The sequence below is a fragment of the Homo sapiens genome, chromosome 5, assembly GCF_000001405.40.
Source record: "Homo sapiens chromosome 5, GRCh38.p14 Primary Assembly".
Taxonomy (NCBI): Eukaryota; Metazoa; Chordata; class Mammalia; order Primates; family Hominidae; genus Homo; species Homo sapiens.
The window spans coordinates 7,830,149-7,852,216 of NC_000005.10; the positions used below are offsets into that span (position 1 = coordinate 7,830,149).

Consider the following 22,068-nt stretch of genomic DNA (forward strand, 5'->3'; position numbering starts at 1 on the left):
ATCCATTAATATAAGAAGATATGATGTGTGATGGCTTTAACAAGCATTCATGCATTGGCTTTAAATGATAAACATTGGGATACCGAGAGAAATATACTTCATTTTCTCTTATGGCCTAACAAATGTGAGATCTTTTGAAATCTTGGCCAATTACAGCCCTGCCTTTTGAAAGTCAGTATGTAGTAGAAGGTGAAGGGAGTAAGGTCTGACTGAAAGTAAATGAAAATAATTTAGTTTGACTTTGATTTATTACAGTCACTTACAGATGCCTTGTCTTTGTTGAAATCAAGTCTGAATAATGAATAATTTATAAATATTTCTATAACCCAAACTTTATATATTTTCTATTATGTTACTATAAATATGGTATAATGCACCCAAAGGCATTCGAAATAAACTACTGCCATTTGTTTGAAATAAATAAAAGACACCTACACTGAAAAACTGTTTTCAAAAAAATAAAGAAATACTTAGGAGTCACTCAGCCTTGAAATTGCCGGAATTCAGTGTCATTTATTTTTAGAGAATCCTTTTTCCATATTCAAAACAATAAAACCAGTGATGGAGCGATCAGTATTGAAATTAATTAGGCCACCTGCCCATTCACTGCTAAACTGTGGGAAATTTAATCATGGTAGATGAGAGATGATTTCTTCCAAGGGATCCATTCATTAAAAATGTAGCTGATGATACTTTAATACTTGGGTAAGTTTCAAATTATCTCCAAAGTAAGTATTTCCAACTTAGGTTACAAGCGACTGCTTCCAAAAAGAAGACTGTTTAAAGTCAAGTCATTGCTGTGATGACGGGGCACTGGGTGGGGCACACACTGGGTACCTGTGTTATGCCTGTGCTCCAGCAGCTCATTGCCTCCCGCATGAACTCCTCTAGGTTTGGAAATTCCACTTTAAATATGAGGAAATGTCTGCTCATGTAGATGATATGACTTGCCCTAGAACACAAATCTAGAAAATGCAGCAACCAGAATTTTACCCAAGTTTGTTGAACACCGAAATCTAGCCTCTTCCCATGACTGGCCCCCTCTCTCTGAGCAGTAATAGTGAGCATTGCTGGCCACCAGGGCCACCCATCCTTACTAGGGCTCCTGGTCCCTACTGCACAAAATTCTGTTATTTGGGATTCAGACCTCTGGAAAAACAAAAATGGAGTTTCTAGAGTTCAATTGTGCCAAAAGACAATTGTCATCACATCTCCTCTTGGAGAAGGGAACATGTCAGGGTTGTTTGTGTTCAGGCAGCAGGAGTTCCCCTAACTCGTGGGAAAAGCAACTGCACCTCACTCCTGTGACTGCCTCCCCAAAGAATCCTGGCAAATGTAGAGAGCCAGTGAACAGAAACCAACCCAACAGTTACCAAGGGGAAACAAAGTTTTCATTTTATTCAGGTGCTCACAATGAATCGGTCTCCAGATTCATTTGATCAAAAATAATTCCAGCTGAAAATCATCACATCAGAGACTCTTCACATGTACTAAAGGTGTTGTTGGTCAGGCTCCTAACCCAGCAACCTGAGGGGGGCTGCTAACGTGTTCATGTGTCCCACTGTAGAGATGCAACACAGGCATAGCCAAGCTCCTAGGCGTCATGAGAAGGGGAAAGGAGGCTCCAGATGCCACCTTCTCGCTGTGCAAACTTGCCAGGCCACAGGGTATCGGACATGCCCTGTGGGCCACGGGGATGCTTCAGGATGGAGCAATGTGCCCAAAGCCGGGTTCCTTGAGGCTGGGGATGTCGTTCTTCCTGTAGAAGTCAGCCTGCACATGGTTGGCACGGCCAAAGTCCCGGTTTAGGGGCTCAATGGGCTGATTGATGCGCTTCCCATAGACAGAAGACGTCAGCACTCCAACCGGCCTCTCCTGTTCCTGGTGAAAGTTATCAAAGCACATAGTCAGCACCACTGCATTCGCCAGCACAGCTCACCCGTGCATCCATCAGCCTGGGTCCTGGGAGCTTTTTCTGCCTGGGTCCCACCATGGTAGACCAAGAGGGAACCTCCACGCTGAAGCCAGGGGCTTCACAGGGAAGTAGCCTATGGCAGGGAACCGTTGAATTTGCTAGAAGGCTGGCTGGTGTATTCATTGGACATGTTGGGAAACTGTGCCGGACCATTTGCTCTACCCGTTTGTCCCTGTGCTCTTCCTGGTCATTTCCCAGCTCCTGCTGCTGCTGGTCCCTTCCCACCACCCAGATCCTGGCTCAGATGTCCAGGTCCTCCCTGACCCCTCCCCTCCCCAGCTCCCTGCTCATCCCTCTCACTTTCCCCATCTTACATCCTCACATGGCTTCCTCTTCCCTCATACCACTCATCACTACCTAGAATTTGCTCATCATTTCTTTTTTTTCTTTTCTTTTGAGAAGGAGTCTTGCTCTTGTCGCCCAGGCTGGAGTGCAATGGTTGCAACCTCTGCCTCCCAGGTTCAAGCAATTCTCCTGCCTCAGCCTCCCGAGTAGCTGGGATTACAAGCGTGCACCACCACGCTCGGCTAGTTTTTGTATTTTTAGTAGAGACAGGGTTTCACCATGTTGACCAGGCTGGTCTCGAACTCCTGACCTCAAGTGATCCACCCACCTCGGCCTCCCAAAGTGCTGGGATTACAGGCATGAGCCACCACACCCAGCCCATGATTTCTTTGCCTTTTTCTCTCTTCCTTCAGGAATGGCAGCTCTGAGAGGGCTTTTTTCTGAAAAACTACCTGCCACAGTTTTCTCCTGAGGAAGACAATAACTTTGCATCAACTTAGAATGCACCACATGTGCTGGTTATGGTGGCTTGGTAACTAAACTTGGAAGAAATGTTCTCGTGTGTGCAATTTCTGCTCCGCAAGACCAACTTTTCTAGAAAAATTATGAAAGCCAGGACTCAGAGGTTAAGCAGAGACTTGTTTTATCCGTTGAAGGGAATGTCTTAGCTTTGCTGTCCTTAAATTGTTAAATTCTAAAGAACCAAACAACAATATCAAGAAAAATACACAATGACATGACTGAATAGAGGGAACTATATATAATAGTACCTTAGCCTTAGCTTCTTGGCACAAAAAGATAGAGGAGAGCTGCATAAAGAAAATTACATAGAGCAGCTGAGCACAATATTAAATATGTATGTGTATATGCACACACACATGCATGTACACACATATGTACACACATGTACATGCATACAATATACACACATGTGCATGATATATACATGTATTCACACATATATACACACATAATATATACACATCCACCTACATATGCATATATGCATGCATCTATACACATATTTACACACATTCACAAGCAGGCACACACACATGCACACACATATACACACATATATAATAGATACATACACACATGCATATACACAAACACATGCACACATATATACACACAGGTACACATATTACACATATGCCCACACACAAACATATGTACAACATATACAAATATACATATCTGTACATACATGTACACACATATATACATACACACATGTACACACATGTATGCCTATATACATGCATACACATATACACATACAGTCATGTGCCACATGACATTTTACTCAATGATGGATCTCATATACGACGGTAGTCCCGTAAGGTTATAATATTAAGTTGGTGCAAAAGTAATTGCTGTTTTTGCCATGAAAATGTCAAAACCTAATAGAACTGAAAAATTCCTATCACCTAAGGATGTCATAACTGTTGTCATGTCATAGTGCAACACATTCCTAATGTGTTTGGGTGATGTTGGTGAAAATAAACCTACTGTGCGGCCAGTCATATAAAACATAGTACATACAATTATGTACAGCTCATAGTACTTGACAATAATAATAAATGACTATGTTACTGGTTTATGTATTTATTATATTTTTTATCACTATTTTAAGAGTGTACCCCTTCAACTTATTTTTAAAAGTTAACTGTAAAACAACCTCAAGCAGGTTCTTTAGGAGGTATTCCAGAGAAGACATTGTTAGCCTAGGAGATGACAGCTCCATGCGTGTTGCGTGACGTCGCCTTTGAAGACCTTCCAGTGGGACAAGATGTGGAAGTGGAAGGCAGTGATACTGATGATCCTGACCCTGTGTAGGCCGAGGCTAAGGTGTGTGTTTGTGTCTTAGTTTTTAACCAAAAACTTTAAAAGCTTAAAAAAATTAAAAATAGACATAAAGATCTAAAGAAAGAAAATATTTTTGTACAGCTGTACAATGTGTGTTTTAAGCTAAGCGTTACTACAAAAGAGTCATAAAAGTTTTTAAAATTAAAAAGTTTATAAGGTTAAGAAGTTACAGTAAGCTAAGGTTCATTTATTATTGAAGAAAAAAATTTAAAATAAATGTAGTGTAGCCAAAGTGTACAGTGCTTATGAAGTCTACGGTAGTGTACAGTAATGTCCTAGGCCTTCACATTCACTCACCACTCACTCCCTGACTCACCCAGAGCAACTTCCAGTCCTGCAAGCTTCATTCATGGTAAGTAAATGATACACAAGTGTATCATTTTTATCTTTTATACTATATTTTTACTGTACCTTTTTATGTTTAGATACAAAAATACTTAGCATTGTGTTTTAATCCTTTACAATATTTTATACATAACACACTGTACAGATTGGTAGCCTAGGAGTAATAAGCTGTACCATATGGCCTAGGTGTGGAGTAAGCTATGTCATCTAGGTTTGTGTTAAGTACACTCTGATGTACACTCAGTGACAAGATCACCTAGCAATGAATTTCTCAGAATGAATCCCTGTTGTTAAGCAAGGCATGACTGTACATACACCCCGCACCAAACACACACACACACACGTACAAGCATACCTCAGAGATATTGCAGGTTTGGTTCTAAACCACGGCAATAAATATCACTATTAAGTGAATCATACAAACGTTTTGGTGTTCCAGTGCATATACAAGTTACGTTTACACTATACTATAGTATATTGAGTGTGCAATAGCATTATGTCTGAAAAATGTACAGATCCTAATTTGTAAATACTTTATTGTTAAAAAATGCTGACACAGAGATAGGAAGTGAGCACACGCTGTTGGAAAAATGGCACCAATAGACTTACTTGACATAAGGTTGCCACAAACTTTCAATTTGTAAAAAATACAGTATCTATGAAGCCTAATAAAGTGAAGTGTAATAAAACTAGATATGCCTCTATAAAGTTTTGTTAATCTGTTGACAACTTGTTAATATTCTGTCTTAATATTACCTCTTCGTTAACATGAAGTCCCAGGCTTTTTGCATGTTCTCTGTCATCTCGGTGCAACTTCTGATCATAATCTAGGCGCCTCTTAAAAATACAATCATAGAGGGAAATAATTCCTGTCTAGGAAAAAAAAGAGAAAGAAAGCCATGGGTTAATTTGAAGGCTGGGTCATTGAGGCCCGATGGAGCACAGAGGCCAGTTCTTTCCCAAGGGAGGCTGGAGGTGCATGTGGTGAGTATGTGGTAGGAAAGTTCACCTCACCAAGCAGAACCAGCTGTGACGTGGAGCAGGGAGAAGCCCAGGCCTCACCAGCAAGAGAAGTTTGCTGAGAGGCCCAGTATGAAGCAGGGACATTTTCATGGCACTTCTCAACTTTCTCCTCCCTTGTTGACAGAGGTGGCTCCCCAAGCTGTCTTGCTGTCTGACTCCATTGCTAGAGCTCAAACTTTAAAATAAAAATGTGTCCTAGTCCATTCAGGCTGCTGTAACAAAATACCATATAGACTGGGTGACTTATAGGCAACAGCAGTGTATTTCTCACAGTCCTGGAGGCTGCGAAGTCCAAGTTCAAGGCCCTGTGAGATTGGGTGTCAGGTGAGGGCTCAATTTATGATTCACAGGTGGTGTCTTCTCCCTGTATCCTCACATGCTGGAAGGGCAAACAAGCCCCCTCACGCTTCTTTTATAAGGGCACTAATTCCATTTATGAGAACTCTACCCTCAGGCCTAATCCCCTCCCAAAGGCCCCGCCTCCCAATACCACCACATGGGGGTGAGGCTTCAACGTACGAATTTGGGGAGACACAAACATTCAGACCATAACAAAATGACATTTCTAAGGTTATATATGTGTGTACTTTTCCTTCATTTCTACTTGTCTTGTGTTCTCAAATTCTCTATAATAAGCCTGAGCTTCTTTGAAAAACAAACAATACCTACATACTAGGATAATGAAACTTAACAGGAGTCATCCTTTAAGTCGCTAGTGCAGGAGCCAAGGGCAGACGTCTTCTCTGCCTTCTGAAGGTTGCCTGAAAATCAACTGACAGAAGGGAGATTAAAAGAAGAAAGGGCATACACATTTTTATTAATGTGCATGGGGGACATCTCAGGGTGATTACCCCACCATACCATGGGCTACAGATGCTTGTATAGCCTTCTTCATACGAGAAAGGAAGATGGGGAAATGCGGATGATTTTAGGGAGGTAGTAAGTTATTTTTAGGGGGATACAATGGGCTTGGAGAAGATACAATGGTCTGGGAGAAAGTCTGTTTGGCCCACAGAGCAGATGATGGTCTATGACAAAAGTCTGTCCAGGTGTCTTAACAGACTTCAACCTGTCTTCCCATGACATGAATGCAGTTAATGAAAACTCAGGGAAGGTACCAGGGGTCATTGTTTTCTTCCTTGGTGAGTCTAGACTTCAGGCAGATAAGCGAACTTTAGAGACCGACTTCATCAAGTGCTTTGGGAGAGACAAGATTGAGAGACAAGAACCAGGGGTGGGGGTAGGGGGTGGTCAGAGAAAACTTGAGCCTTCTTCTTGAGGCCAGAGTGTCAGAGTGCCATATTTTGGTGTATTGGTTCCTGAACTCTAACACTAGCCAAGAGTCAGGCTATGTGCAAACCCCTCTCTTGAGAGATAAAAGTATTTTTTCTTTAATCATAGGTGATAAGTGTAACACTTGGTAATCCATATATATATGAATACATATATTTAATATACATGTATATATCATATGTATGTAATTTACATACATGCACAACTCTGATGTATTAGAAAATGACCCATTAACAGAGCCATTATCTGTATTATCTCCATTTTATCATCCCAACTTTTTCTGAGTACAAAAGAAAATCTTCCTTGTTCGGTATCTAGTAAAAGAAAAAAGAATGCATGTGTTAGCTGGTCTTTAATCTTCACCTTGTAGGTCAGGCTTGTCATTTATGTTATTCCAGCTGCCTTAAATCTTCCAGCAGCACACTCAGACATGTCTCCATGGGATTTGGGAGCATTAGGTCTCTAGCTTATGCTTGGTTGGTTTTGTTTTGTTTTGTTCCCAGATAGTGATGCTAGAATGATTCCCTCCAACAGGAGGATACAGAGGTAGAAGTAGGCAGTGAAAAGGATGCAAGACTTTATACAGTATGTTGGAAAATACATAATGCCCACTCACACTGACTGCAGGAACTTGGCACTCTGGCCAGTAGTGGGAATAACTAGAGCATAACGTAGCTTTGGCCAATCCTTAGCAAATCATTCACAGATCATCTGTCATGTGAAACATGCTGTGCTCCTGCTGAGGGAATTTAGAAGATAACTCAGACGTGGCTACTGTCCTCACTCAATGAGCCGTCTAGTAAGGAAACAACATGGTCTTTAAGAATTATTACTTTAAGATTCATAAGAATTCCAACAGTAACATGTGTAAGGCCCCTGGCCAGCCACTGCGGGATCCTGGTATGTCTTAGTTCAGAGTCACTCTAATCCGCTTGAAGGAGGAAAGCAACCTCCAACCAGGAGCTGTGGCTTCTGCCTCTGTGCCTCTGCTGGCCATTTTATGAGTTCACCAGACACAAGCATCTCTTATTATTGTCTTCACTCTCACTCAACTTCTGGATGTGTTCATGTCAAACCACCCTGGCCTTCATGTCTCCTGATGGCAACCTACCCTATAGCTATGTACCCATAGGATTTTTTAAAAGCCTGAATCAATGGAGAATTGATAAGCCTTTCAACATTTAGTATTGTGACAATTGGCTAGTTTTTTGGACCTTCACATCACATTATAGCCAAAAGTAAATTCTGGATGATGAGAAAAATAGGAGAAAAAGAAAACCCATTAGAAAACTCGTACACATGAAAACAATAGGAAAAATGTCAGAAAATATCAATCACTTTGACTACATACAAATTAGACATCTGCTTATCAAATAAAATGAAAACTTTAAAAAAAACATTTTAAGACATGATAGAGAAATCTCGATATCTTTAATATCCATAACATAGGCAGCTGTTGGTACAGAAGCTAATTTGCTGCTGGCCTGCAGAGGCTAAGCAAACATTTTTGGGATGGGCCGCCCAGTAACACACAGGAAGCCCAAGTATACCACACACATTCTGCAAGGATGAGGGAGGATAAATTCTCCAGAGTAAAGACATTGCCACCCAGACCTTTCCTTTGAGATTCAGAGACACTGGCCAGCCAATAGCTTGATCTCCATCACCCCCATGCCACCCCACATACGCCCAATATTTTAAGGGATTCAATAGTAGCCAGGCTCTTGCTCATCATCTAGGTGTCCTATTGCCTTTGGAATCCCTCCTGACCTGGCTGACCCTGTTCCATGCGTTTTGGGGAGAACAGCTGCAGTGTACAACGTGAAGACCTAGTCTCTAGAACTGAACCCCTGGGAGAAAGCTACACCCATGGCCAAGAAGCACTCTCTCCTCCTGCACCCTGAGAACCTTGTGGCAAAGTGGTGTTGTCTGGTGGCCCCTCAAACCCTATAATGCTCCCTGCAGGTGGGCAGCCACCCTCACCCAGTGTATTAGTCTGTTTTCATGCTGCTGATAAAGACATACCCAAGACTGGGCAATTTATAAAAGAAAGAGGTTTAATGGACTTATAGTTCTGTGTGGATGATGTGTGGGGAGGCCTCACAATCATGGCAGAAGGTGAAAGGCACTTCTTACATGGTGGCAGCCAGAGAGAGAGCTTGTGCAGGGAACTCCCCTTTTTAAAACCATCAGATCTCATGAGACTCATTCACTAACGCAGTAACAGCACAGGAAAGACCCACCCCAATAATTCAATCACCTTGTACTGGGTTCCTCCCACGACACATGGGAATTGTGGGAGTTACAATTCAATATGAGATTTGGGTGGCGACACAGCCAAACCATATCACCCAGGTCTGAGGGACAGCCCCCTCAGAGTGGATGGCACGAACAGCAGGGAAAATAGATCCTCCAGTGGCTGCCTGGTCTTGTATTTTCTTCTGCACAGTGCTTTTAATCAGGTCCAACCCTCCTGAACTGAGTGAGCCCCCACTGGGGTGCTTGGATTATCCTGGGAGAAAAACTCTGAAGAAGGAAGAATGGACTTAAGAATAGAATGAGAATGCAATTACTGTTATCAGAATGAGAAAGGATATGTTCATTCATTTTGTTCCCTATATTGAAGAAGCCCAGTGTAATATGCAACTTTACAGAGAAAATGCCTATTTCTTCTCATTCTAATCAGGTCTCCTGAAACACTATAAAAGTAACCACTATGAGCAGCCATGCCTGCCTCACAATCCCTGGATTAGTTGCCAACAGTCTTCTACATCTTAGTGTTTACTAGGAATCTCACTGCTTGTGGGTGTGGAGTGATCAGAGTCTTAGGAAGCTTATTTTTGTGCAGATTTTGCATATTCAGAACTTTCCAGAGTAAAAGTGAATTTTTCTATCATTGAAAAATAAGGACCAAAAAAAATAAATTCATCAGCAGGCAGGCAGCCTCGCTTTGAAATGTGACTATCCATTTTCAATAACTAATCAAACTGGAAATCTGTCTTTTCCCAGGATTTTAATTATTAATCTTTCTTTTTTTTTCTTTTATTCTCGTATGGCTTGAAGCAAGATGATACTAATAAAAACCAGTTGGGATTTAGATGCTATCACAAGACAGAGCTTCTGAAATTACTGAAATTTTGCCATTAAAATCCCTCAAGGAATTGTCTCTATTTCACAGATGATGTTCCTTTAAAAAAAAAGCAAAACAAAATATCCATTTTTCACCTTGTGATCTCTCCCTTTGTGTTTTGAATATTGTTAAAATGTAGCATGGCCTTAGCCTGGTCATGGTGCTTGATCACCTACCCTCAGTTTCCCTCACAGTGACCTCCACCCCTGATCCTGAGAAATTGCTCTGGTCCACAGGCGGCCTGGGCAGATGCTGTGGGTAGAGTGGAGGCCTCCAGTTTTCAACCTCCACAGCACATTAGGCCTACTATTGTGCAAGACACTATGCCAGGCTCCAGGACAGAAATGGGGAGTCCCTACCTTAAAAGAGACCACAGACTGAGAAGAGAAATTAACCCATTAGTTATGAACCACAGAAAAATATAAATGGAATAAGAGAGGTGTGCACAAAGTACAGTAGCAGAAAAGAATGAATGATGGGCAATTGCTTGGGCTGAGGGTAGGAAGTGCAGGTGACTGAAGGTGAGATGGGAGACTGCACCACACTGCTGTACTTAGAACCACTGCCGAACAACCTCACTGGATGTGGTCAGCTGACTTGTGTCCTCCAAGCATTCACATGTTGAAGTCCTAATCCCCAGGAACTCTGAATGTGACCTTATTTGGAATAAGGTAATTGAAGATATAATCAATTATGGTGAGGTCATACTGGAGTAGGGTAGACCCCCGAGCTAATATGACTGATGTCCTTATTGAAAGGAGAAATTTGGACATGAACATTCAGAGGGAAGGTGATGTGAAGAGACACTGGGAGAAGATGGCCGTCAACAAGCCAAGGAGAGAGGCCTGGAACAGAGCCTTCCCTCACAGCCCCTAGAAGGAACCAATCCGGCTGAATTGCAACAAAGCAAAAATTGACATATAGTATCTAATTAAACTTCAGAGCTCTGCACAGCAAAAGAAACTACGAACTGCATAAACAGACAACCTACAGAATGGGAGAAAATTTTTGCAACCAATGTATCTGACAAAGGTCTAATATCCAGCATCTACAAGAAACAAATTTACAAGAAAAAAAAACCCCGTTAAAAATTGGGCAAAGGACATGAACAGACACTTCTCAATAGACACACATGTGGCCAACAAACATGAAAAAAAGCTCAACATCACTGATCATTAGAGAAACGCAAATCAAAACCACGATGAGATACCATCTCATTCCAGTCAGAATGGATATTGAAAAGTCAAAAAACAACAGATGCTGGTGAGGTTGTGGAGAAAAAGGAATGCTTCTACACTGTTGGTGGGAGTGTAAATGAATTCAACCATTGTGGAAGACAGTGTGGCGACTCCTCAAAGACCTAGAGGCAGAAATACCATTCAACCCAGCAATCCCATTACTGAGTATATACCCAAAGGAATAGAAATCATTCCATTATAAAGACACATGCACACGTATGTTCAACGTAGTACTACTCACAATAGCAAAGATATGGAGTCAACCTAAATGCCCATCAATGATAGACTGGATAAAGAAAATGTGGTACATATACACCACAGAATACTATGCAGCCATAAAAAGGAATGAGATCACATCCTTTTCAGGGACATGGATGGAGCTGGAGGCCATTATCCTTAAAAAATTAACACAGAAACAGAAAACCAAATCCCGCATGTTCTTACTTACAAGTGAGGGCTAAATGATAAAAACATAGGGACACATGGGGGGTGGGCAACACACACTGGGGCCTGTCAGAGGACGGGACGTGGGAAGAGAGAGAAGATCAGGAAGAATAGTTAATGGATGCTGGGCTTACTACCTGGGTGATGGGATGATCTGTACAACCCACCATGGCATACGTTTACGTATGTAACAAACCTACATATCCTTCACAAATTAAAAGTTGGAAATTAGAAAAAAAAAATCCTGGTGACACCCAGATTTCAGGCTTCTAGCCTCCAAAACTAAGAGAGAAGAAATTTCTGTTGTTTTAAGCCACCAAGTCCGTGGTACATTTTATGGTAGCCCAGGCAAACACACTTGGCAAGAAGTAGCCATCGTGCCCCATGACTCCTCCCAACCTGAGAAGCACTCTTACTCCCAGAAGTTGCACACAAATAACTGGGGTAAGTTTTAGAGCAAACTGGGACCCTAGTCCTTTATTTTCTCCTCCCTTTCAGAGTATTTAAAGCATTAATTCACTCTCCACCATAAGGTTGGACCAGTAAGTTCTACAAGAAAGAAAAAAAAAAAAACAACAGAAAAAAATTAATACCTTTTGTCATGTAATTGTGGCAGGGGTAATGCTATGTGCTCATCAAACATACTACCTCTTCCAGAACAAGCAGAAGATGCATTTCCCAGTTTGCCCCACAAGTAGGCTGGGGCCAGGAATGTGGGTGACTCCAGTAAATACTACTTCTAGTCCTGGTCCATAAAAAACTCTCAGGCAGTCCTCCAAACCCTCTCTCCCCACTCACTGGCTAATAAATTCAGAGCATCCAATAAATGACTCTAAAGTCCTAAAAACTCCTAGGCCCTAGTAATAGTGAAACCATGAAAAAGAAGGCACTTGGATTTCCAAGCAATTGCACCAAGAGCCTCCCTGGAGAAACATAAATGCTGGGCTATGAATGAGAAAAAAATAAGCCTCTATGATGTCATGGTTATTATGTTAAGCCCGTTGGTGCACCTATGTTTAACAACCCACTTTCTGGAGAGAAAAAAATCTGATTTGTAGTATTTGATGATTTCTGTGGTGTAAATACTTCGGTCATGGTCAATTTTAGGCTACCAGTTAAATGCAGAGCTTAGAAGAAATGCTAACAGTTGGCTTTTGTGAGTCATACAAGCCAGCTCCAGCACACCGGCGGTTAAGACTTTTTGGGTTTAGGGTGTGTTTCCATAGCACATCCTAGCCCACCTTGTCTAATATGCTAATCAACCTATGAGTGGGCTACCTCATTTCCTGTCCTCAGAAGCCACAGCACTATGACCTCCTCATCTTGAGGCTTTCCGTGAGTTTGCTTGTCCAGGGATAAACAACCTAATTTTAAAACTGAAAACCCCCAAGGTGATCCAAAACAGTTTCCTTTGATTCATCAGGGCCTCAATTTACTTCTAATAAATCCAGAGCATCTCCTTGGAGGTTTGGTATTGTGTGAAGCTTAATGAGGACATTTTTATTCATTTTAACAGCATTCAAAATTCTGTATCTCAGAGGACTGTTGCTTGCGAAGGACACAATGTTAGGTTTTTTTGAAAAGACAATACTCAACTATTCTCTTTGGGTTTTTGATTTTTCCTGTGGAAAAGATTCTATGTCCTCTCCTGGTACATTAATATCACAAGTTTTAGAAATTCTTATAAATTTTCAAATAATCTGGATATTTTACCATCAGACTGAAGTCAAGATAATTCCTCCCTCTGATCTTGTGTCTGTGTCAAATTCTAAGAGTGTTCTGATTCAGAGAGTTCTACATTCATCTATGTGCTCAACTTGTCACCAGTTGGAAACTTGGTGATTGTGGAGTCAATTGTTTTTCCTCTTCCACTGATACCAGCTCCCTACTCACCCCTCACCCCCAGCCCAGCAATTCACAACTCAGGAAGAAACAGCGATCCACAGGGGCTGAAACTCGAATTCAATCTTATATGTTCCTCTTGGTCAAAGTTATTGGGAAAAATGTTGTCTCTTTTCTTGTGTCATTTGCTTGTACCCCTTAAAACGGGGTGATTTTGAAAAACTAAGATATGTTATTAAATGAAAAGGGCAAGCTGCAATATATGTGTCCATATTTGTGTGATCTGTGTGTGAATATGTTCTTGTATAAAAAACATTAGATACGTATCTCGACAAACATGCACTCAATGAAAAGACACAGAGCACATGCTCACACAGGAGTTTTGATTCATTGGAACATGGATTCCTCACTCTCGGTGTTTCGTACCATGTGAAAGGTCTCCACTAGAACATGCCTGCCTCCCCTTTCACTCATTCCTCTCTCATAAATGGGTTTGCAAGGGAAACTGGGCCTTGGGCTCAGCCCCCCGACCAACCCCTTTTTAAGGAGCTACCTGCCCTGGAGGAAGATATTCAGCCCCATTCCCCCAAGCCCTGAGTTTTCCAGGGGCAGGTCACTGGAGAGTGAAAATGCAACTAGAGAAGTAGAGAAGAAACTATAGCCCACTGCCATTGACGATACCAGAGGAGGAGAACGAGGACAGGGATAAGCAAAGCAGCAGATAATCCAAACCGAAACCCCCAAGTTACTCTTAAGAAGCAAATTTTGTAAGTCGGTGACTTATCCCTTTGTTTTAAAAATTGGCTTTCCGATTATTCATTCCTCATTTGTTCATGCAACAGGTATTTATGGAGTTCCAACTATGAGACAGGCACTCTTTTGATTGCTGAAGACATAGCTGTGATAAAGGTAAATCATTGTCCTCACAAAGCTCACATTTAGTGGGAGAAAACAACAAGATAACTAAGGAAAATACTTAGCAGGTTAGATACTAATAGGCAAAAGGAGAAAAATAGGCAGGGAGAAGGAAAGAGGTATCCATGCAGAGAGGTCATAATTTCACTGGGCCAGTACAAATTCTTTTGGAAAGGCATGTAAGCTTATGAGTCTGCTGGATAATGGGGAGTTGCCTAGATAATGACAGGCAGATCAGCAACAGAACTGAGTTCACCTTCCCCACACAGCCCCCTTGGAGTGGCTGAGTGTGTGTGGTAAAGGTGCTTGGTTCCTAAGCAGACAGGACCCATAGAGGGAGGACCTGGGGAGGCTCATATTGAGCACTGTCTGCATACTGTCAGGTCCTTCAGAGATTCCCCTTTGTGCCTCTGGACAGTTAGCATGTGTATTAGTCCATTTTTGCACTGCTATAAAGAACTGCCTAGGACTGGGTAATTTATAAAGAAAAAAAGGTTTGATTGACTCACAGTTCCACATGGCTGGGGAGGCCTCAGGAAACTTACAATCATGGCAGAAAGCAAAGGGGAAGCAAAGACCTTCTTCACCTGCTGGCAGGAGAGACAGAGAGAGAGCAAAGAGGGAAGTGCCACTTTTAAACCATCAGATCTCCTGAGGACTCACTTACTATCATGAGAACAGCAAGGGGGAAACTGCCCCCATGATCCAATCACCTCCCACCAGGTCCCTGCATCAACATGTGGGGGTTACAATTGGAGATGAGATTTGGGTGGGGACTTATTGCTAAACCATATCAACATGCATCTGTATAGGTGCTTGGCTGCACTTGGCAAAGGGAAATTCAGTGCTCAGGGAGGTAGAGTCCTTGATGCATAAAGAAACAGTCAGCTTCTGTCCCCAACATACACAGAGAAGAAAAGCCAGCTAATCCCACCAAACCTAAGGTGGGGCCTTTACAGCAAAGCCTCACTCAAGACAGAGCTATCCACAAGCCCCCTCAGCATGAGGGAAAGCGGATTCTAAAACCAGTTATAATTGCTTTAAATGCAGCTCTTAGACTTTGAGGAATTTAATCAAAACCTTCATAAAATGGCATTGTCCTTTGACTGCTTTTTCATTTCAGCAGCAGAAATGCTGCACAAGGCAGAAGAAGAAAAAAGTAATTGAAGAACACCGTTGAACGGAATCTGCTTTGCTGCCGCAGGAACCATATTTTATGGGCAAAGCCCACGCTACTAGAACTCTCTAGGGAGCCGTACAGGAGCCGATCACATTTTTGCTGGCAGCTTTAGATGACAAATTTGTCTTACAATTCAGAGGCATTACTGGGGCTTTAAATAAGTGTGCAGCCTTCAGTGCGTCCACTCTGTGGGCTCCCTGAAGGGAGCTGCTTCAGAGGATTAGAAGCCACAGATTGACACTCACATTTTGCCTTCACCTGTGTTAATTTCTGACAGCAAACGAGGGTCAGGGATATGAGGTTTGCGACTGGGATCCAGCACTTAGTGAAAAGAAGCTCTAATAATCACTAACAAAGGCAAATCATAATAATAGCTATACTTGCATTGGGCTTACTATGTGCTACTTTGCATTGATTAATTAAAGTCATTCATATAATAGCTCTATGAAATTGGCACCATTTGCCTCAAAGGTGGGTAGAGTGAAACAGTGTGTGTTAATGTGGCAGGTCCACATGGCTGGTCAACATGGAGCCAATATTTTTACCCAGGATGACTCAGCCTGTGCTACCAACTAATCAGTACACACACTACTGTGTGTCACATAGAAATAAACTAAACAGAATGGTCCTATCAGGCTGCTATAACAAAATACCCATACGCTGGGTGATTTATAAACAACAGATGCTTATTTCTCAAGGTTCTCAAGGTTGGGCAGTCCAAGATCAAGGCGCTGGCAGATTTGGTGTCTGGTGAGGGAGCATTTTCTGGTTGCTACATGACACGTTCTCATTGTGTCCTCACATGCTGGGAGGGGCGAGGGAGCTCTCTGGAGTCTCTTTAACAAGGGTGATAATACCATTCATGAGGGCTCCACCTTCATGTCCTCATCACTTCCCAAAGGCCCGCCTCCTAATACTGTCATGTTGGGGGTTGTGATTTCAACATATGTATTTGGGGAGAACACAAATATTCAGACCATAGCATTGGCTTAAGAACTAATTCTGTACTGTTTTTACTACTCAGCTTGATTAGGGCCTGAAATTATTCTTCTTCTTACTTTTATTATTATATTTTGGAGACAGTCTCACTCTGTCACCCAGAGCAGAGTGCAGTGGTGCAATCTCAGCTCACTGCAACTTCAATCTCCTGGGCTGAAGTGATTCTCCTGCCTCAGCCTCCCGAGTAGCTGAGACTAGAGGTATGGCCACCACACCTGGCAATTTTTGTATTTTAAGTATAGATGGGGTTTCACCACGTTGGCTGGGCTGGTCTTGATTGAACTCCTGATCTCAAGTGATCTGCCCTCCTCAGTCTCCTAAAATAGAGCCTGAAATTGTTTACAGTAAATTTAGGTGTAACTGAGTTCTCTAGAAAACCTGTGATGCAGAATTTACCCTCTTTATTCCAAATAGTCTCTAGGTCAGAGAATCAGTTTCTTTGGTCCTGCAGCTGATTAAATCCCAGTTCATATCATCCTGAGGAGTGGATTATTACCATTGGTAGCTATTTGTCAAATGGGCTTCAAAATGCTTTTGTTATTCTTGTTGTTTCGAGGCTGTTTTAATTTAGATGTTAACATTTCTGTAGCATCGTTTTCTTTTGCGTGGTACTAAAGGCCTCAGAACTTGAATTTGTTTGTGACCTCAGTTACCCAAACTGCATGGAAAAAAATTGTTTTTTCAAAAATCCACTTTGCATTAATTTGTTCTAAGTTCCATACCTACCTTCCAGAAGGTAGTGATACATTAGAGCAGGGGTGGGAAACTTTTTCTGTAAAGGGCCAGGTAGTAACTGTTTTGGGCTTTGCAGGTCACATGGTCTCTGCCAAATCTACACAGCTCTCTGCGGTAACCACAGACATGCAAACACATAGGTGTGAGACTATGTTCTAGGAAAACCTTATTTATTAAAATAGGCAACTGGCCAGATTTGGCCAAGGAGCCTTGGTTTACTGACCCCAGCATTAAAGGGGCAGATTTCCAGCCCACTCCCAGCGGACCTCCTTCCAAGTGATGGAGTCCCAGTCACTTCACACTTCAGGCATCTCTCTGCCCTTTGGTTAGTTTGGTCCCAGGAAGGTGGAGACGTTAATTAGACTGGTAAATGCAAGAATGAACTGTGCCTGCCAGGATCAATTTCACCGCCTTTCCCTAGGCAGTAGCTGGCCCACAGGAGATGCAGATTCTGCTCTTTTTCCTGGTGCCCCCATCTTATTTACAGGATCCCTCAAATGGCATTATTACCAATGTTTTTATTCTGTCCAACAGCCAGATGAATTTTATTTCCTTTCAACATAACAGCATAGAACAAGTTAACACAAAAACACTCCTTATTTTTTCCACTGTTTATCTCATGCGGTGCATTACTGCTATGCATTAATCATAAGCTGATTGGCAGTCACATGAGTATTGCATACTTAAAATGTAAAATTCATTTAATAAATGAGATTATGTATAGGTAACAGTTCTTTCAAAACATATTGCTCCCAGGAGGAAAAAAATGAAGTCCCTGGTGGCAATGAGATTGGGAACTTACCATTCCCTCGTGTTTCCCTCCTGTCTTAATATTCAGAGGATAATCGAGCCTGGGAGAACAGGCAAACAGGGCTGCAGAGACAGATCTGATTGCAAATGTCCCTTTTCCCCCTGTCCTTGCATATTGCTCAAAGCCAAGCAGAGAGGAGCTATCAGATACCAGAGATCCTCCTGGGAGCAGGCTGAGGTTTATGGCTGCCGTATTTGTCAGCTGGGGCTGCACAAACTAAGTACCATGGATGACGTGGCTTAACCAACAGAATTCACTGTCTCACAGTACTGGCACCAGAAGTATGGAATCAAGCAGTTGGCTGTGAAGGAATGCCCTGTTCCAGGCCTTTCCCTGAGGCTTGTAGGCAGCTGTCTTCTCCCTGTGTCCCTTTACATCATCCTCCCTGATATGGTTTGGCTGTGTCCCTACCCAAATCTCATCTTGAATTGTAGTTCCCATAATTCCCACATGTCCTGGGAGGGACCGTCTGGAGATAATTGAATCATGGGGGCAGTTCCTCCCATCCTGTTCTCGTGATAGTGAGTTAGTTCTCACAGGACCTGATGGTTTTATAAGGGTCTTGCCTCTTCACTGTGCACTCATTCCTCTTCATGCTGCCACGTGAAGGACATATTTACATCTCCTTCTGCCATGATTATAAGTTTCCTGAGTCCTTCCCAGCCATGCTGAACTGTGAGTCAGTTAAACCTCTTTCCTTTATAAATTACCGAGTCTTGGGTATGTCTTTATTAGCAGTGTGAGAAAGGACTAATACATGCATGTCTGTCTCTATATATCCAAATTTCCCCTTTTCTCAAAGACACCAGTCATACTGGAATAGGGCTCATCCTAGTGGCCTCATTTTATTTTGATTATCTCTGTAAAATTCTATTTCCAAATAAGTTCACATTCTAAGGTACTGGGGATTAAGACTCCAAAACATAAATTTCAAGGGGACACAATTCAACCGACAGCAGTTGTCTAAACTAGAAACACGATTGCTTCTGTTGGTGAGGCTGTCCAAGAGTGCTTACACTTTATGTGTGGCATGCAGGCCAGTGTGTGCTAACCCAGTCAGAAGGGGAATTTATTTAGGGTCTAGGATGGTGGGGGCAGGAGGTGGGGAAAGGAAGGATGCATTTTCTGGGAACACCTTATACACCATAAGGGAACGATCTCCTTCCCCCTAGACACCTGGCTAATCTATATCCCTCTCTACCCACTCAAGCCACCAGGACAGCTAGAATTAGAAAGACCTGTCCCAGTTACGCCTGCAGGCTGAGGGTCCTCAATGAATGCTCCTTTTCAGTAATGACTCCCCTGCCCCTGCATCTTGAGCAAGACAAACCGGGGACATTTAGGAACAATGGTGAGAAGAAAGGAGTAGATGACCCTCAACTGGCTTTGAATTTACTACTTTTCCTGCCTTTGGCCGCTGGTGGGAGATGCAGGGTGCCCAGTGGCCTTCGCAGACTCGCAGATCCCATCCCAGGAAATGCACGGGCCGGTGTGGCCAGGACAGAACAGAGGGACCACTCTCAGTCCAGCCCTCCCTGCAGGCGGCTCGCCAGCTATTCCTTCTGGTCTTCGGTTTGCAGGAGGGCAGAGGGTTTCCCGCGCCCTGGACCATCCGGGCGTAGTCCCGGCAGCAAGGCCTTCTTTCCTTGCTAGCCTGGGCCTGCCGCAGACAGACCCCAGAGGGAGCCGCGCCCAGCCCGCTGGGCGGCCCCGGCTTCCCGCGACCCCCTCCAGACCCTGGGCAGAAAGAGCGCCCTGCTGTCCCGACAGAGCCACTGTGCTTTTGAGGGATCCTGACACCTAGTGGCTCCCGCTCCCTTCTCCGAAGAGCACCGGGTCCTATCTGAGCATTCCCGCGACTCCCAGCCCCTGATCGCAGCTAAGACACCCATTCGCGCACCCGGCTTCTCCCACATCCTCGTCCCAGGGGTTCAGCTGACACTGGTAGTCGCCTGAGCTGTACTCTTTGGGGCCCAGGCGCCTTGGCGGGAGCTCACCCTCCCTGTCTCCCCAGCTGACCCTGCCGCGCCCCCTTCATCTCCGCACGCTCCCACCCGGCCCCCTCCACAGGCTGTCCAGCCCCGCCCCTCGGAACCCACCCCTGGTAGTGAAGCCCTGCCCCCAGGGTCCCTGCCCGAAGGTGCGCTCCTCCTCTAGGGCCCCTCTACTCTGTGAGCTCTGTCCCCGATCCCTAGCGGTGCAGCCCCTCCCAGGGCCCCTCCTCGTTGTGAGCTCCTCTCTCCAGTCCCCGGCGGCGCATCCCTGCCCCCAGGCCCCCTCCCCTAAGGTGAACCCTGCCCCAAGGCCCCAGTCCCTAAGGTGAACCCCGCCCCCAGGCTGCCTCCCCTAAGGTAACCCCGCCCCCAGGCCCCCTCCCCTAAGGTGAGCCCCGCCCCTAGGCCCCCGCCCCTAAGGTGAGCCCCGCCCCCAGGCCCCTTTCCCTAAGGTGAACCCCGCCCCTACGCCCTCCCTCCGAGGGAGAGCCCCGCCCCAAGACCCTTCCGCTGGGGTGATCCCTTCTCCCCCGCCCCTCCGCGGCCGCCCGCCCCTGCCCAGCCGCCCAGCCGCCCAGCCGCCCAGCCGCCCAGCCGCCCAGCCGCCCAGCCTTCCGGTCTCCGCGCCCAGTCCGCGGTCCTCACCCGCGCCGGGCGGTAGTAGTAGCTGTGCTCTTTGGGGTCCAGGCGCCGCGGCGGGATGTAGCTGAAGGCGGACTGCGCCGAGACGGGCGGCGGCCTGGGCTTGCCCCGCAGCGTGGACGCGGTGGTCTCCTCCTCGTCGTCCTCCATGCCGCCACCGTCCAGCGCCCCCGCCTTGGCCGCGGTCCGTCCCGCCCGCCCAGGGGCCCAGTCGGAGTCTGCAGGCCTCAGGTTGCTCAGCGCCAGCGTCTAGCCCGCGTCTGTGTTCGGTCGTTGCCTGGAAACCGCCGCCTGGCGACCCGGAGCTGCCCTGCAGCATTCCCGCTCCAGGGTGGAGCGACCCTCCCCTCCTCCCTCCCGGCCCCTCGACTACACCTGGGGTCTCTCCTTCCTTCCTCCTCGGGAGGAGCCCGACTGGGAGACGCCGCGGGGACTACCCATTTCCAGCCCGCTCACCTTTCCCATGCAGCAGCCCCTGCTTCACTCACTGATCACTCCTTCGCGAGACCATTAGTGACTGAGCACCTAGCGCATGGTGTGTCAGGAGCTGGAGATTGAGCCTTGAACGGAGCAGGCCTTGTCCACAGGAAGCTTACAGTCTGGAGAAGACACATGAAAGACGCGAAGAAGCCAAATGACTTGCCGAGGCTCCAGGGCAGCGCTGTCCAATAGAAACATGATGAGAGCCACGTGTGTCGTTTCTTATTTGACTCAGTAAGTCCAAAACGTTATCATTTCAACAAATGGCACTAGCTGCCTTTCAAGCTCTCGGTGGCCACGTGTGGCTAGCAGTTACAGTATTGGCCAGTGCAGGTGTAAGGCTGCATGAATTTACAGAATCTGGCAGAACTCAGCTGCTGTGGACAGGGCTCTTGCAATCCTTTGCCAGTGTGTTTACGTTGGCCCTTGATCTGAATGCTGGGTCAATACCTGCGTTCCGTTTGTTGAAAATGTGTTAAGCTGTATACTCGTGATTGGTGGGTGTACAGCCAAGAAAAGTTAAAAACAAACAAACAAAAAAAGCCATGATGACCAAGGCTTGGGAAATGCTTTAGCCAGCGTGCCTGGGAAGGCCAGCCTTGCTGAGAAGGTGGTGTTTGAGATGAAGCATAGCGATAATGAGAAGCCAGTTCTGTGAGTCTGGCAATCCCTTCCAAGCCAACTTGGTCCTCTGAGGCAGAGACAATCTTGTGTTTGAATGGCAGCAGGAAGTGGGGTGGTGTGGCCTCATGAAGCCAGAAACTGGTAGGAAGTGAAGGTGAACAGATAGGTGGGGGCCTGATGGAGAGATCTTACAGATGATGGAAGGAGCAGTGCCCTGCCTTCTTCCCCATCCCTGCAACTA

At 44.8% G+C, this 22,068-nt stretch overlaps 2 protein-coding genes across 5 annotated transcripts in view; one reads left to right on the forward strand and one right to left on the reverse strand.

The window, feature by feature from the left end:
• On the reverse strand, positions 230–20,985 carry CFAP90 (cilia and flagella associated protein 90). 2 transcript variants are annotated; one of them, NM_001089584.3, is made up of 3 exons: positions 20,727–20,985; positions 5,234–5,350; positions 230–1,881 (listed from the first exon to the last, which is right to left on the reverse strand). In NM_001089584.3, the coding sequence occupies exons 1-3, from the start codon at positions 20,871–20,873 to the stop codon at positions 1,702–1,704; spliced, it is 444 nt and encodes a 147-aa protein (NP_001083053.1). In that variant the 5' UTR covers positions 20,874–20,985; the 3' UTR covers positions 230–1,701. The 2 variants fall into 2 exon arrangements, with proteins under 2 accessions (NP_001083053.1, XP_011512265.1); XM_011513963.3 differs by lacking the exon at positions 20,727–20,985 and adding an exon at positions 5,540–5,706.
• The window catches only part of MTRR (5-methyltetrahydrofolate-homocysteine methyltransferase reductase), a 50,255-nt gene continuing 48,897 nt past the window's right edge, over positions 20,711–22,068 (forward strand). For all 3 annotated transcript variants that reach the window (XM_047417233.1, XM_024446064.2, XM_047417234.1), the window contains exon 1: positions 20,711–21,437. The gene's annotated coding sequence lies outside the window, so the exon portion shown is untranslated. The remainder of the gene's footprint in view (positions 21,438–22,068) is intronic.